The 16,863-nt window shown below is 47.1% G+C and overlaps 1 annotated feature.

Annotated features, from left to right (window-relative positions):
• Positions 514-1,250: an enhancer, noted in NCBI's record as "H3K4me1 hESC enhancer chr5:172672012-172672748 (GRCh37/hg19 assembly coordinates)". NCBI's record gives its function as "activates a minimal SCP1, AML or CMV promoter by ChIP-STARR-seq in naive H9 embryonic stem cells {active_cell/tissue: H9 hESC(naive)}" and the evidence as "EXISTENCE:reporter gene assay evidence [ECO:0000049][PMID:30033119]".

Consider the following 16,863-nt stretch of genomic DNA (forward strand, 5'->3'; position numbering starts at 1 on the left):
CCGGGTCGTGCCCTCCAACCTGCTGTGCGTTACCGCAGCCAAGTTTCCACCGCCCGGCGGAGCGCATTGTGAACAGCAGCTGACAAATTGTTGTGTTGCACACACACACCAAAAAAACCCATTCAGTCTCGTATAATTCGGCGCAAGCGGTGTCTGTGGAGAGCCTCCCGGGGGCATGGCACGGGGGACCCGGAGGCCAACAAGCTGCGCGATACCGGAGCAAAGTCGGGATCAGCAGCCGCCTTTCGCGGAGGGCGTTCTGCGCTCCAAGCAAATTGGCGAAATGCGGGGATTCAGACACGAAACGAGCGCGCTAGAAAGGGTCGTGTTGACACATCCCATACTTTAAGTGTACACATGACAGTTGCAGACATTCAAGCCCTTAAAAGGAGCACAATGGAGCGTTTACATTTTAGACCTGTGTCTATGGGATACATCTACAGCCACCAGTAACCCGCTTTGAATGTGGAGTTGATGTGCTTTATTTATTCATTTTATTTTATTTTATTTTTTTGAGACGGAATTTCGCTCTTGTCGCCCAGGCTGGAGTGCAGTGGTGTGATCTCGGCTCACTGCAACCTCCGCCTCCCGGGTTCAAGCGATTCTCCTGCCTCAGCCTCCCGAGTAGCTGGGATCACAGGCACGCATCACCATGCCCGGCTAATTTTTGTATTTTTTGTAGAGACAGGGTTTCACCATGTTGGCCAGGCTGGTGTCGAACTCCCGACCTCAGGTGATCGGCCCGCCTCGGCCTCCTAAAGTGCTGGGATTACAGGCGTGAGCCATGGCGCCCGGCCTGATGTGCTTTAAATTCGCTAAAACGACACGGGTACACACAGGCGCCCTAAGTGCACAGTCACTTTCTCTGTGTGTGCGTGTTTTACGCGCATACGGTGAAAAAAAACTTTCCAAGGGCACAGAAGACCATACTGTGGGTGCCCCTCGCCGCCCCCAGCGTCCCTGCCGCACTCTGGAGCTGCTCTGGGAACACACACGTTTGTGCACTCTAAGCGTCAGTGTGTTTTTGCTTTCCCCGCGCCGAATTGTGCGTCGCCTGTGCAGACCCTCCGTTGTGTGGCCTTGTGTCTTTAGGCAGGGAACATCTTTTGTCTCTCCGCAAGAAGCTTTCCTCCAGGAAAGATAAAGTAATCGATAGGGTCTTTTAAATAGCTCCGCGTTTCCTGTCGGGAGAGGAGTATCAGCGCGCGCACCAAATCTGCTCTGGTATGTCACCTTATCTCTCGTCCCCGCTGTTGTCCCCAAACGCCGCCTGTCAAAGGAGACGCCACCCGCATTAGGACCTAGACTGGGGCCCTTCCGCTCGGGGTCAGGCGCAGCGCCCTCGGCTTGGGCCCCGCCGCCCCTTTAGGGGTCCGGGAGGGTGGAGAGAAGGGGCGGGAGCCAGGATGAGGGTGCGGGGGGCCTAGAACCCGAGGCTGGTAGGAGAGCAAACTCTCAAACGCGCTGAAACCGGCCCATCTGGGAGAAATATTAGGGCGCATGTCTCTCCCGGAGGGCTTCCTTTTTTTTTTTTTTCCTAACCACGAAAATAGGGAATCTTTGTTACAGGCTAGTTGTGAGCGAATCCTCCTTTGTCCGCGTCCGGAGGAAAATCAGGTTTATTCTTCAGAGAGGGCAGCTTGGACTTTAGGAAGTGCCTGCCGGGTCCAAGTTTACCTTCCGGACTGCGACGAGGTGAGGTTTCGCCACCGTCCTAGCCTCTGTCCTCTCCCCAACCTGCAGCAAGTCAGCTCTGACTCCGGCGGGGCCGGAGTGCAGGGCAGAGGGGAAAGAAGGTGCCGCCAAGGCTGGTCCTTCAGTCACAGCAAAGGCCCTGTGGCCAGCCTAGGCGACCCCTTCCTGTGGCTAACCCTCCGCGATCTGCAGGCAGAAGTGTTTCTAGGTGCCCCACCAGCCGCTAGGCCCTGGGCCCCTTCAGACGTCCAAGCGCTGTTATGCAAATCTCCTCATTTTTCATTTTCTGTATTCAAAGTCGGCTGTATCCAGTTTTTTAAAAATAAAAATAAACCAAATAACAATAACAAAGCACTCTCAGTCTCCTCCTGCCTTCCATGCACAAACCCATCAATGACCTCTATAAACATGGGAGTCAGCCTCTCGGTGTTTCCAGCCTCACAATTACCCACGGGGATCCCCTCTCTTGAGAAGCTGTAGGGAAAGATACCTCTTGGCTTCAACACAGACTTGCTCCCTTCCGACTTGCCCGGGATCACTCTGGATTACTCCAACTGCTGACGGAGGACCACCCACCAAAACACAGCCTGGCCTTGGGAAAGCGTGGGTTCTCATTTATCAGGGTTTATTTATCCAAAATAAAAATTACTGTAGAAAAGTAAAGGAGGGAAAAACATCTTCCTCCCTTAGGAGGCTTTTTTGAATGAATCTTCTTCTCATTCTTTAAGGCCTTGGTTTAGGCCTTCCTATTCCCTGTGGTCCTTTGACATTATCTCAGCCTTAGTTAAAAAAAAAAAAAAATAGTGAATTTGATTATTATCAGTAACCAAAGGTTGCTGGTGGAGGAAGGGAGACTAGCTGTGTTTTCTTGCATGATGGTTCATTTGCACCGTGTGCTATGCTGGAACCAGAAGAACATGAACTGGACATCACCCTCCCATTCCTGGCCCAATGCTTGAATGCCCTTGTCTCCTGGCCTCTTTGGTTACTCTGGTGACCTAGTTACTCAGTCCTGGGTAGCCCTGGAGATGACTCTCCTGGAGGGGGAGGGCTGCCTCTCCCACTCCTCCAGGCCAGGGGCCCTCAAGCAGGGCTACTCTGAATGAACACTTTTGTTAGAAGGAGCCCTGGGAGATTCGTTTCTTTTCTTCTAACAAGATGTGTGGGTGGGAGATGAGGAAGTCCGGGCATTTATAATTCAGAGTGGTGAGACAGCCAAGGGGGGTGTAGGTGAGGACCCCAGTGCATCGCCCTCTCCCTAGATGTGACAGTCATCGCCTAGGGACCCAGGCTCTTTTCCTAACAGAAGCTGTACTGCCCGTTCATTAGAAGTGGGAGAGGGGAGGTGGGACCAGGTGGCACTGGGAAAACTCTCAGCCACTCCCGAATCCTGCCTTGCATCCTGCCTGCCAAACCATTCCTGGATCCTGACTCTGGGAGATGCTACTTAGGGCAAGAAAGCTGGCTTTGCTTGTGCCTGTGACAAATTATGGGATCCCCTAAGTTCCCAGCCAAGTCCAGCAGTGTACTTGCTTCCACTTGCTGAACACTTTCTGATTTTGGGGGAACTTTTAACTCCAGTGTAACACAGGACTGCACAAAATAACAGCTGCCTCACTAGCATGCAGTTCAGGAAGCAGAACATTACCAGTAGCTACTAAGCCCTCTTGAGTTCTGTTTCCCGGCAGGGCAGTAACTATTCTGACTTCTAACAACAGAATAGTTTTGCCTGTTTTCAGACTTCACATGTATCTAAATACAGTATATACACTCTTTGTGTCTGATAATTTTACTTAGTATATGTTTGTGAGGTTCAATCACATTGTTTGTAGTTGTAGCTAGCTACTTTTCATTGCTGTCGAAACATTTCATTATGTGAAGATGCTACTGTTTATCGCCATTCTCTGCTGATGGACATTTGGGTAGTTTCCAGTTTTTGACTGTTAGGAATAGTGAGTGCCTCTATGAATTGTCTTGCGTGTGTCTTTTGGTGAACATGTTTACACATTTCTGTTGGGTAAATTTCTAGGAGTAGAATTGCTGGATCATATGATATTCACAAATCCAGCTAGAGTACATTCTACTCAGCGTTTTCCAACCTGGTTGTACAGATTTACCCTCATACTGGCAGTGTACAAAAATGGCAGTTTCTCCGCATCCTTGCAAACATTCGGTATTACATGTTTTAGATTTTAAGCCGTTCTGGTGGGGGCGTGGGGGTGTCTCATTGTGGTTTTATTTCACCTTTCCCTAATAACTAGTGAATTGAGGATCTTTTCAAATGTTTATTGATTTTTTGAATATACTTTTTTTGTGAAGTGCCTGTTTAAATCTTTTGCCTTTTTCTTATTGATTAGTGAGAGTTCTTTGCATATTCAGATAGGAGTCCCCTGTGGGTTATATGCTTATTGTGAATAATGTCACCCTGTCTGTGGTTTGCATTTTTACTCTCTTAATGATATAGCACCTATTTTTGGCTCTGGTCTAGTGACATACTTCTGACCTTGAGGTTGTAGCACTGCTAGTCTACATCTAGGGTATCTGTGGCTGGGATATTTTCTTGGGCTCTGGACTACCAGGCCTGCCAACATGGTAAAATCTTTGAAGACAGAATCCAGGGCTGGTTCTGCTTGTTTTTCTCATAGTTAACTAAAGCTTTGTCCTTCCCAAGAATATTTTAATGACCCATTAAATGGGGGAAACTGCAATAGGACCCTTTGGATTTTACAGAGAGGGCTGAATTCATTATCATGCATCCCTTTTTAATACATAGTAGTGGGTCAGATCTTTACAGAGCAATGCAACCAGAAGAGTGTAAATTCTTTGAGTTTGGAAACATGCACAGTGTAAACCTGGAAGGAGAGCTGAGGCCTACCCCCTTTTAAAATCTCAGTCTAAGCCCTGCCTCTTCCAGGGAGTTTTTCCTGATTGCTGCTGTTCAGGAAGAGAACATGAGTGAAATGTGGGTATAATTTTGAACAATCCTTCTGGAAAGCAATTTGGGAATTTTCATTTTAAAAATCTTTACAAAATACAAGGTGAAAATAGCATAAAATTAGTTTTAGTTATTTTAATCATTATTTGTTTGTTTATTTATTTGACAGGGTCTCACTCTGTCTCCCAGGCTGGAGTGCAGTGGTGTGATCACGGCTCACTGTAGCCTCTACTTTCCAGGCTCAAGTGATCCTCCCACCTCAGCCTTCTGAGTAGCTGGGACTACAGGTGTTTGCCACCACACCTGGCTAGTTTTTAAATTTTTTGTGGAGAGAGAGGGGTCTCCCTATGTTTCCCAGGCTGGTCTTGAACTCCTGGGCTCGAGTGATCCTTCAGTCTCAGCCTTCTGAGTAGCTGGGACTACAGGCGTGCACCACCACCATGACTGACTAGTTTTTAAAATTTTTGTAGAGACAGGGTCTAGCCACGTTGCCCAGGCTGATCTGGAACTCCTTGGGCTCAAGCGGTCCTCCTACATTGGCCTCCCACAGTGCTGGGATTACAGATGTGGGCCACTGTGCTTGGCCTATTTTTCAGTGTTTTAAACCCGTTTGTATTTTTCTTTTTAAAGAGGTGTTATCTTAACAAGTTTGGGGAGTTAGGGAAAAAATTGAAAAGAAAAGGTATTATCTGTTTTCATCTTTGATCTATTGAGATCTTAGGAACCCTTTGTCATTTTATTTTGTGCTGCAAATATTTTTGCCATTCTCCCGTTTGTCTTTTCAAAACGTTCATTTTTTAGTTGAAGACACTTGATGATAATGTACGAAGGGGCCACTCAAACACGGGGTGGGGTGTTTGATTCCCAGTTGGGACTGGTCAAGAGCAATGTCAGGGCCCTAACCTCCCTTACAGCTGGCCCGAGGCAGTGGGGATTCCAGAGGACAGAGGCCTATCCCACTCTAGCCTTGTAGAGTATGAAGAGTCTGTAAGTAGCTGGCTTCAGAGACTGGGGAAACCTGGGGGACTGCCTTCCTTGAAGCTTCCATCCTGGGCCCCAGGCTGGCAAAGATGGAATGGAGGAGGGAGTGCCACTGGCTACTCCCAGGGAAGAAGGAAATTGAGAGCAGGTAATCCAACAGAAAGAAGTGAGGAAGAAGAGGTGCCTTGAGTTTGGGCTGGTGGGTGGAGGGGACTTGGGGAGGATCCAGAAGAAAGGAGAACATCAGCCAGGCGGGAAATCTGATGGGCAGACTCAGGCTCTGGAGTAGGGCTGCAACCTACTGCATGGAATTGTTTAATCTCCCTGAACCTCAGTGTTCTTATCTGTCAAATGGGATAATACTTGTACTTTGTCAAAAGATTATTTGTGAGAACTAAAGAAGATAACATTGTAAAATATAGCCTCAGATTCTTTGCCACTCTTCTGATTGAGAGGTAGGGTCTATGTCCTCCCGCTTTCAATACAGCAATTTTTCTACTGCCTCAACCAATAGAGTACTAAGGAAGTGGCACCATGAGACTGCAAGCTGTAGGTCAGAAAAAGCCACTTACCTTCTTTTCTGTTTACTGGAGCATTTGCTCTTGGATCCCTGAGCTACTGTGTGAGAGACTGACTCCCTTGAGCTGTGAAGAAGCTCAAGCTATAGAAAGAGGCCACAGGTAGGACACTGTGGTGGACAGTTCTAGCTAAGCCAGCCTTCTAGTCGTTCCAGTGCAGGTGCCAGATGTGTGAGTGAGGAAGCTTCCAGATGATTCCAGCACCTAGCTGATCCAGGTTTTGTTGTTGTTGTTGTTGTTTTTGACAGGTCTTTTTTTGGTATGTCTCCCAGGCTGGAGTGCAGTGACACGATCTCGGCTCACTGCAACCTCCGCCTCCCAAGTTTAAGCAATTCTCCTGTCTTAACCTCCTGAGTAGCTGGGAATACAGGCACATGCGGCCACACCCGGCTAATTTTAGAGACGGGGGTTTCACCATGTTGGCCAGGCTGGTCTCGAACTCCTGACCCCAGGTGATCTGCCTGCCTCAGCCTCCTAAAGTGCTAGGATTACAGGCGTGAGCTACTTCGCCCCACTGGTTGATCCAGTCTTCATAGCTGAGGCCCCAGGCTTCATAGAGCAGAGAAAACTCATCCCTGTTGTGTCCTCTCCAAACTTCCAACCCTCAAAATCAGTGAGCATAATGAAACGTTTGTTTTCATACCACTGAGTTCTGGGATTGTTTGTTATGCAGCAGTTAGATAACCGGAACGTGGTCCAAATAGAACGGGTTAGTGTACTGCTTGCCCAGTAGTAGGTGCTAAAGAAACAGCACCTGTCGGTAGCATTTTGGTAACAGGGGTATTCCAGCGTAGAGAACAAAGGGCTGTTAAGGAAGAAAAGGCAGAGGGCCCTGCTCGAGGAAAGCTGATCCTGGACAATCTCCAGCTTTCCACCTGGACAGTGTCTTTATCTTGGCTCTAATTTTAGCTCCCCTCCCGCTTCTTCCAGAATTTAAAACCCCGAATAGCCACAAAAGGAGGGAGTCAGTGGGCCTTAGAGTTTCCTTTGTGTACCCCCTTGTCCCCTTTTAAAAAGCTCTGGAGTGGCATTGGCAAGGATTGTCGGCTGGAGTTGAGCTTGGGGAATGTGGGGGTGGAGAGCAGAGGAGGCATCAGAAAGCACTTTGTTGCTGCAACTATGAAGCGACCATAATGACAATCAGGCGGAATAAGTCATCCCTGTCTCTGCGCACTGCTTTTCAGTTTGTTAAGTGCCTTCTTTCACATGGCCTGGTCTTCAGGCATTTGAAGGTGGAGAACACATTCTTAGCACACTTCTTGGCAGGTTGCAAGTGTCCAACAAATGCTTGCTGATTGATAAATATGGACCACACTGAGCAGTGACTTTACAGCAAGTCCCTCTGCGTGTGCACTGCCTCCTGCACGGGGAGTTTGTTTCTCTGATTGTGCATGATTCAGGCTTTCATTTGGCCCCGTTCAAGTCCACCTGCTTGTTTCTCCTTCTGCAGGGCCTCAGGGGGAGATGGAGTCAGGAGGCAACTAAGGGACATGGCATCTGGGGGTCCAGGCCCGCAGAAAGGAAAGCCTTGGACTTGGCAAACACTACATAATTTTAAGCTGCAGCAGTACCATCCTTTTATTTTTCTTTGGAGATGGTGTCCTGGCCCCAGCACATCCTCAGGAGTTCGTGGAGGGGGCCTGGGACTGTGTGCAGATTCTGCCCAGGTTTCTGTGGTGACTGCTGTCCCCTGTCCTCTGGAGAGCGGCAGGCAGGGTGATATGACAGGAAAGATTTTCCACAACTGCAGAACATCTGGACAGGTGGTTAATGCTGCTGCACGCCACACCTCCTTGGGGCTGGTCTCGGCTCTCCTGAACCTCACCTTGACCTTCCTCCGTAGCGGGGTGCCCCTGACAAAGGTTCACCTGCCCACTTTTTTTCTGCTTCTCTTTCCTTCGCTGCTCGTGGGGCTTCTCCTAGAAAAGCAGAAGAGAGAGGGAGGGTTATTAGTCCGTCTTCACACTGCTATAAAGAACTACCTGAGACTGGGTAATTTATAAAGGAAAGAGGTTTAATTGACTCACAGTTCCACAGGGCTGGGGAGGCCTCAGGAAACTTACGATCATGGCAGAAAGTGAAGGGGAAGCAAGGGACGTCATACATGGTGGCAAGAGAAAGCGAGAGAGTGGGGAAGTGCCACACTTTTAAACCATCACATCTTGTGGGGAACTCCCTCACTATCATGAGAACAGCATGGGGGAAACCACCCCATGATCCAGTCACCTTCCACCAGGTCCCTCCCTAGACACAAGGGTATTACAATTCGATTGAGATTTGGGTGGGGACACAGAACCAATATTTTGGAAAATTGGACCCAATTTTCTGTCTCTCATATTAGAGGGAGACAGAAAGAGAAAGAGAGATTGAGAAAGAAAAACAGAGGGATTGAGAGAGAGGGGAAACAGAGAAGGGGGCGAGGGGGAGAGAGAGACAGAGAGAGAGAAAGACAGAAAGAGAGAGAGAAGGGGGAGGAGATTGAGAGAAGAAAGAGACAGTTGACAGAGGAGAGATGGAGAGATAGAGGGGGAGAGAGAGAGATGACCTTCAAGGGCAAGGAGGGTTTCCAAGTCTGAGGGAATATGCCCAGCCTGGCCTGGGAGGGAAGGGTTCTGGGTGTGGGGAGAAGGAAAATGTCTCTCTTTCTGTCTCTCATCCACATGGAGACTGACAGTGGCCAGGTGTTAGGGAAGGAGAATGGGCACCAGCTTTTTAAAGGACGTTCAGCTTTGATGGAAACGTTCATTTGCATGTTTAACTATGGGGAGAATGCCTTTCTGTTAACCAGCTAAGGGTGGCTGAGTGGGGGTGAGTGGGTGGTAAGTCATTCTGTGTCAGATTCCTGTGAAGCAGGGGAAAGAGTACCCGGGAGGAGTCCTGTGGATAATCTGTCTCTCCTGAGCTTTGTGTGCCAACCAGCCCCTTCCTTCAGTTGTGAAAATGGGAGTAGAGAGTTGTTGATCAAAAGGTACAAAGTTTCAGACACAAAGGAGGAATAGGTTTTGACATCATTGCACAGCAGGGGGCTGTAGTCAGTATTAATGTATTATACACTTTAGAATGACTAACTGCAGATTTCAAATGTCTCACCATAAAAAATTAGGTAAGCAAGGTGATGGATATATTGATTAGCTTGAGTTAGTTGTTCCATACCACATACATATATTGAAACATTGCATTGTACCCTATAAATATATACATTTATGATTTGTCAATTAAAAATAATATCAGCTGGGCATGGTGGTTCACACTTGTAATCCCAGTTAATTGGGAGGTCAAGGAGAGAGGATTGCTTGAGGCCAGGAGTTCCAGACCAGCCTGAACAACACAGTGACACCCATTCTCTACAAAAAATAAAAAAATCTGACCGGACTCCTGCTTGAACCCAGAAGTTGAGGCTGCAGTGAGCCATGATTGCACCATTGCACTCCAGCCTGGGCAACAGGACTAGACTTTATCTCTTAAAAAAAAAAAAGTACTTTCTTTCTTTCCTTTTTTTTTGTTTTAAAGGCTAGTCAAGTGAAGCAGTGGGAATGGAGAAGGAATAAAGAAACCTGTAACTGGTTGTGACCAATTAGTTGTAAACACCATTGCACTCGGACCACCAGTGGGGCAGGGGGAGCTCAGAGTGTTTGGATTTCCTGTCTTCTCCCAGGCTTTGTCAGCAGGATTTGAGCTGGAATCAGATTCTAGCCAGGAATCCTCAGCATTGGGAAAAAGGCCAGAAGAGAATGATAACCCATGGTATCTCAGTTGGGCTTAAGAATCACCTGGAATTCTTGCTCAATGCAGATTCTTGGGCTCCCTTCAGAAATTCCTATTTAGTAGGTCTCAGGAGTCTGCATTAAAAAAAAAAAAACTTAAAAAAATTAAAAAGTATGTGTAATAGAGACAGGGTTTCCCTGCGTTGCCCAGGCTGGTCTCAAACTGCTGGCCTCAAGCGATCCTCCCGCCTCAGCTTCCCAAAGTGCTAGGATTATAGGCATAAGCCACAACGCCTGGCCCAGGAGCCTGCATTTTGAAACAAACACGCCAGGCTATTTTGATGGCACTGGTTTTCGGATCTGCACTTTGACAGACAGACTTAAACCTTCCGTGTGAGTATTCGAGAGCACCATCCTGCTTTCCTGAGATGACAGACTCCTCAGGGAGGCAGCCAGGGCTTCCTGTTTCTAGATGGGGAAACCAAGCCAGGCAGCCCTCTGGAGGCTTGCTGTGGGGTGCCCCGGCAAGCTAGCGAAGCCCCACAGCCAGAGGGCCAGCCCCGGGGGATGGGGGGGACCAAATATTAAAAAGAATATGCAAACTCTCTTTTTGGCTGATAAATCTAATGCTGTTTCCTCATAGCCACATATAGGTTTTGCTTTGCATTTCATGTTCTTGCTCCTTATGTTTAAACATTAAAAGTTTTTATTGTTTTATAAGCCTCTATAAGTAAGGAATAAATTCTCATTGTAAACATTTCAAATTCTATACGAATCACTCTATTTCCCTAGTCTCACGTCTCTCCTCAGAGATAACCCTTCTTACCTGTTAGCTGTGTGTCTTTCTAGATGTGTGCTATTCAATAATACATGTGGCTGCCGAGCCCCTGAAATGAGGCTGAAATGAATTGAGATCACTGGAAGCATAATTTTGAGAATTTAGTATAAAAAAGGTAAAATAGTTCATTAATTTTTTTATAATTGACTTGCGTAATATTTTGGATACATTGGTTTACATAAAATAAATTTCACTTTGTAAAAATATGGATACTAGAAAATTTTCAATGATATATGTGGCTCACATTATCTTTCTTTCTCTCTTTCTTTTTTTTAAGACAGGGTCTCACTCTGTGATCACCCAGGCTGGAGTGCAGTGGTACGATCACAGCTCACTACAGCCTTGAACTCCTGGGCTCAAGCAATCCTCCTGCCTCAGCCTCCCGAGTAGCTGAGACTACAGGCTCATGCCATTGCACCGTACTAATTAAAACATTTTTGTTTTGGTAGAGATAGGGTCTCGATTTGTTGCCCAGACTGCTCTCAAACTCCTGGCCTCAGGTAATCCTCCTGCTTCTGCCTCCTGAAGTATAGCAATTACAGGCCTGAGCCATTGTGCCCGGCCACATTCTGTTTCTATTAGACAATGTTGTCCTAGACCTTTCCCTATGCATTTATATGCATACATATGCGCCTCTGCACGTATAATTACAAGAAAAGATAACAGGGATCATTCATTTTGCATTGACCTACGGTTTGCTTTTTTCTCTTACCAGCCTGTTTCAGAGATCTTTCTACATCAGGACATATAGATCCACTTTTTCCCTTTAAAGGGATGCATAATATTCCATACTGACAAGCCATGGTTTATTAAACCATTTCCTATTGGTGGACATTTGACTTGTTTCTCTGGCTTCCCTGTTACTAACCAATGAACATCATTGCTTTTTGGCTTGTTTTTAATCCCACATCTCTTGGCATGCAGAACTATTTGGGGTTTCTCAGATTCTTCCTGAAAAACATAGGTGATGATGTAGTGAAATGTCGGGTAACTGTATGGTTTATTGTCCACATGGGAACTTTGAGAGTGAAAGACAATGATAGCAGTAATGATTCCAGGATATGAAGAGGTACAGACTCAGACTGCCCTGTGCAGATTTTGGACATTTGGTCACTAGGGCCAGAGACAGAGTCCGAATGCGTGTTTTAATAGGAGATGCTTCACAAGATGAGGATCTGAAGTCAGTCCAAGACTGTCTCAAACAAATGCTGGAATCCAGCCTCCAGCTTCACCCTTTCCTTCTGTCCGGTAACTGGTGGGCATTGGGGTAGCCCCCTGAGGCTGGGGGAAGGGACAGGGTAAGCAATGAAAATATCCAAAGAGAAAGGCTCAGTGAATGAGGAGTCTCATTTGTGGGAGGCCCTACCCCATAGGAGCTCTTTGTAGAGTAAATGGTGGGCAAGTCAGCAGAGGGTTTGCAGAGGTTGATTTCATTCTTGACCACTCGTGGCTAACTCAGGGACAATCGAACTGCTGTGACCTTGAGGGGAAAGACCCCAGATACTGTTACCGGCTCCTTCGGGAAACCTCCACTCTCTTCCCGCCCTCCTTTCTGTGACTAATTTCTGAAATCTCTGTAACTGAGAAGGCATTGGATGAGGTTTCCCACTCTGGGAGGGCCCTGGGTGCCAGACTGGGGCAAGGGGGGGCTGAGGCTCCTGTGCAGTCACATGCCATCTCTCAAGAGCAGGAGCGCAGGCCTCCAGATTGGGTGGCAGCAGCTGGTGGGGTATTGGGATAACCTCACTGATGACTGGGTAGATAGGGCTCTCTTGTGTTAGCAGAGTCCAGAAAACAGTGTGCTCCCTGATGAAAAGGCCACGGTCACTGTCTTCTGGGCTCTGCCTGGCTCTGACAGTTCTCAGCTGCTCCATAAATCTTCCATCAGTTCCATCTGGCCAAAAAGATGTCATCACCGTTTTCTCCTAGCGACGAAAAGTAAAAGGTCATTAACGAAAGCGCTCCTCTCTGCCTGTTCAAACCAAAGAAGATGATCTTCAGTTTTTCAGTGGAAGGGGAAATGAGTGTTGAGGTTGGGTTGTTTATGTATAGTAATAGTTTATATTTATATGTTGTACATGAGGATAAGGAGGATGATTATGTTTTGGGTATTATTGAACACTCTGGGCACCCACATACTTAAAACACAGAACATTACAATCTGGAAGTTAAAAGGAACATTAGTGCTTATCCAGTTGTTTTCGAGTTTTTTGCTTTAAAGCAATGGAACACTCATAGCAAATGATATGTTTATGCAAAATCCCAATACATCAAACAGAAGGACTGAGCGTAGCAGAGGCCTGGCACTCGGGGCTTTCAATACCGGCTCCCCCTGACCTCATGGTGGCTCCTGTTTGGAAACTTCTCTGTTTAAATTTCTATCCAGTCCCTAAATCCTCATTGTAGCATCCCCAGCAATTGATTGTTACGGTCTTGCCTCTTCCTCTCACACCCCCAGTGCCTTGGAAAGCAGCCTCTACTGTGCTAAGACAGAGCCAATGGTCAGAAAGCATTGCTTTATCATTTGCTATTTTTTGTATATTTTGAGATAGGGACTTGCTCTGGTGCCTAGGCTGGAGTGCACTGGCGTGATCTCAGCTCACTAAAGCTTCCACCTCCTGGGCTCAAGTGATCTTCCCACCGGAGCCTCCCAAGTAGCTGGGGCCACAGGTGTGAGCCACCATACCTGGCTAATGTTTTAAAAATTTTATGTAGAGATGGGGTTTCTCTGTGTTGCCCAGGCTGGCCTGCAACTCCTGGGCTCAAGCGATCCTCCTGCCTCAGCCTCCCAAAGTGTTGGGATTACAGGTGTGAGCCACTGTTGCTGGCCAGAAAGACTTACTTTAATAACAATAAAATTCTCTTACCTACTCCTCTCCCAAATCTGCGATCCCCAGAAGGTTCTAACAGTAGCCCATTTAGTACCTGTGCTGGAGACGGTGGATATTTCCAACTGCTGAGCCATGGATGTGCTAAACAATGACTGCGTCCTTTGCTTGGACTGTGTGGTCTGCCGGGGATCTGGTTCATCTTGATTTGCACCGTGTGGATGCTGTCAGGGGCAGAAGTCGGCCACATGTCACCCTCACGTCACCCTCCTCCCTCAAGAGACCTTGTTGGAAGGCTGGGAGAGGTGCAGAGGCCCATGCCTGTTCTTACCATGGCCTCTGGTCTGATGCTTTTCCGGCACACAGGGATAGCCTTGGGTTTTCATGTTCCCATGCAGACACCAGCCTTGCAAAGGAGTCGCTTTATCAGCTGGTGTTACCCAGGTTGGAGGCTGATTTGGTAATTTCCTGAAAACAACAACAAACCCAAAGAAACAAACAAAAACAACCAGAGGCATAGTCAGAGGCATAGTCATCAGAGGGGGACTCAAGGGTAGCTTGGGATCTTGACTGTCCTAACACTGATTTGGCCCAGAGGCTGCAGAGCCTGGTGGTGTTGGAAGACAGAGCTTTTTATTGTTTTCTTCCAACTTTCTGCCAGCAGTCACCGGCAGTGGTTTAGTCAGTTTCTGCTTCTGGGTCATGATGTAAATTTAAGTTCCGGGCTGGGGATAAAAATTCTAAATGTGCTCTGCTAGTGTGTGTGTGTACGTGTGTAAAAAAAAAAAACAAAAAACCTTATTTATTTATTTTATTTAACATTAAAGTTTTTTCCCACTTGTATTTTTAGCAGCAAAAACTAAAAAATTGATCTGGTTCCTCTTGTCCAGCTCCTGATGAGGGAGCTGACTCCCTGCTACCCCCGCCCCACGGACTCTGTTGGGCAATAGCTGCTGCAGGCTTCTGCCCTCTCGTTGGCTGTTGACACCTTTCCCTTTTGAGTACAGATGCCCCTCGACTTATGTCCAGATGAAACCAGTATAGATTGGAAATATTGTTAAGTAAAATGCGTTCCATACACCTACAGTACCGAGCATCATAGCTTAGCCTACAGAACGCTTCCATTAGCCTACAGCTGAGCAAAACCATCTCACACAAAGCCTATTTTATAAGAAAGTGTTGAACATCTCATGTCCTCTCATGGTGAATATCTCTCATACTCACGATACTGTGAAGCATTGCTAGAGTACTGTACCTACATCGCTAGCCTGGGAAAAGATCAAAGTCCAAAATCTGAAATCTACTGAAATCTTATTGCTTTTACACCATTTTACAGTAGAAAAATCATAAGTTGAGCCATTGTAAGTCGGGAACCATCTATATAAAGAGTGTTTCTACTAAACTCCATTATTAAAGAGAGCATTTAAAAACAGTTTTTATTTATTTTAATTTTTCTTTCTTTCTTGTTTATTTTCTATAAGAGTTTGACACAAAATTAACTTTTAACTTTTATGCAGATGAAGTCTTGCTATGTTGCCCAGGCTGGCCTTGAACTCCTGGCATCAAGCGATCCTCCCACCTTGGCCTCCTAAAGTGCTGGGATTACAGGTGTAAGCCACCACACCTGGCCTAAAGACAGCACTTTATCCTCAGGCAAATGGCAGAGACCCATGGAGAGGTAGGGGATAGGAGGGGAGGGATGTTTTGGCCTCCACCAACATTCAAGCTAGAGACCTGGGCATGGAGAGGTTTCTGATCTGGTTGCTTACCTTAGGCTGGTGGCTTCCAAACTTGATTGAGAGTCAGGATCTTTTGGGGAGCTTGCTAACACACAGATTGCTGGGCCCCACCCCACATTTCTGATTTGGAGCCTTATAATTTTCTTTTCTTTCTCTTTTTTTTTTTTTTTTTTTTAAGACAGAGTTCTGCTCTTGTTACCCAGGCTGGTGTGCCGTGGCGCGATCTCAGCTCACTGCAACCTCTGTCTCCTGGGTTCAAGCAATTCTCCTGCCTCAGCCTCCCTAGTAGCTGGGATTACAGGTGCATCCCACCATGCCCTGCTAATTTTTGTATTTTTAGTAGAGGAGGGGTTTCGCCATATTGTCCAGGTTGGTCTCAAACTCCTGACCTCAGGTGATCCACCCACCTCAGCCTCCCAAGGATTTGCACTTCTAATAAGTTCTGAGGGGATATTCATACTGCAGGTCTGAGGACCACACTTTGAGAACCACTGGCATAGAGCTGTCCCCTGAGCTATGTAGCTAAAGTGGAAATATAGTTAATCTTACTTCTTGTAGTAGATAATGGTTTAATAGCCACGGATTCTTCCGATCCCAGTGTTTACCCCCTTTGCAATGTGACTTTTCTCCTCCTCCCCAGCAGAGATGGAGTCTAGATCTCTACTCCTTGAATCTGGGCTGATCTTCTTTCTTTCTTTCTTTCTTTTTTTTTGAGATGCAGTATTGTTCTGTTGCCCAGGCTGGAGTACAATGGTGCAATCATGGCTCACTGCAGCCTCAGCCTCCCATGTAGCTGTGACTGCAGGCATGCACCATCACATCTGGCTCATTTAAAAAATTTTTTTGTAGAAATGGGGTCTCACTATGTTGCCCAGGCTAGTCTTGAATTCCTGGCCTCCAGCCATCCTCCTGCCTTGGCCTCCTAAAGTGCTGAAATTACAGGCACAAGCCACCGCACCCAGCCTGGGCTAATCTTGTGACTTGCTTTGGTCAATAGAATGTGATGGAAACAGGCCAGGTGTGGTGGCTCATGCCTGTAATCCCAGCACTTTGGGAGGCTGAAGCAGGTGGATTGCTTGAGCCCAGCACTCAAGGCCTCTTGGAGTTCAAGACCAGCCTGGAGTTCAAGACCAGTCTGGGCAACTTGGTAAAACCCCATCTCTACAAAAAACACAAAAAGTTAGCTGGGTGTGGTGGTACACACTGTAGTCCCAGCTACTTGAGAGGCTGAGGTGGGAGGATCGCTTGAGCCTCGGAGGTTGAGGCTGCAGTGAGCCGTGATTATGCCACTGCACTCCAGCCTGGGCTAATCTTGTGACTTGCTTTGGTCAATAGAATGTGATGGAAACAGGCCAGGTGTGGTGGCTCATGCCTGTAATCCCAGCACTTTGGGAGGCTGAAGCAGGTGGATTGCTTGAGCCCAGCACTCAAGGCCTCTTGGAGTTCAAGACCAGCCTGGAGTTCAAGACCAGTCTGGGCAACTTGGTAAAACCCCATCTCTACAAAAAACACAAAAAGTTAGCTGGGTGTGGTGGTACACACTGTAGTCCCAGCTACTTGAGAGG

Source organism: Homo sapiens, chromosome 5 (genome assembly GCF_000001405.40).
Source record: "Homo sapiens chromosome 5, GRCh38.p14 Primary Assembly".
NCBI lineage: Eukaryota > Metazoa > Chordata > Mammalia > Primates > Hominidae > Homo > Homo sapiens.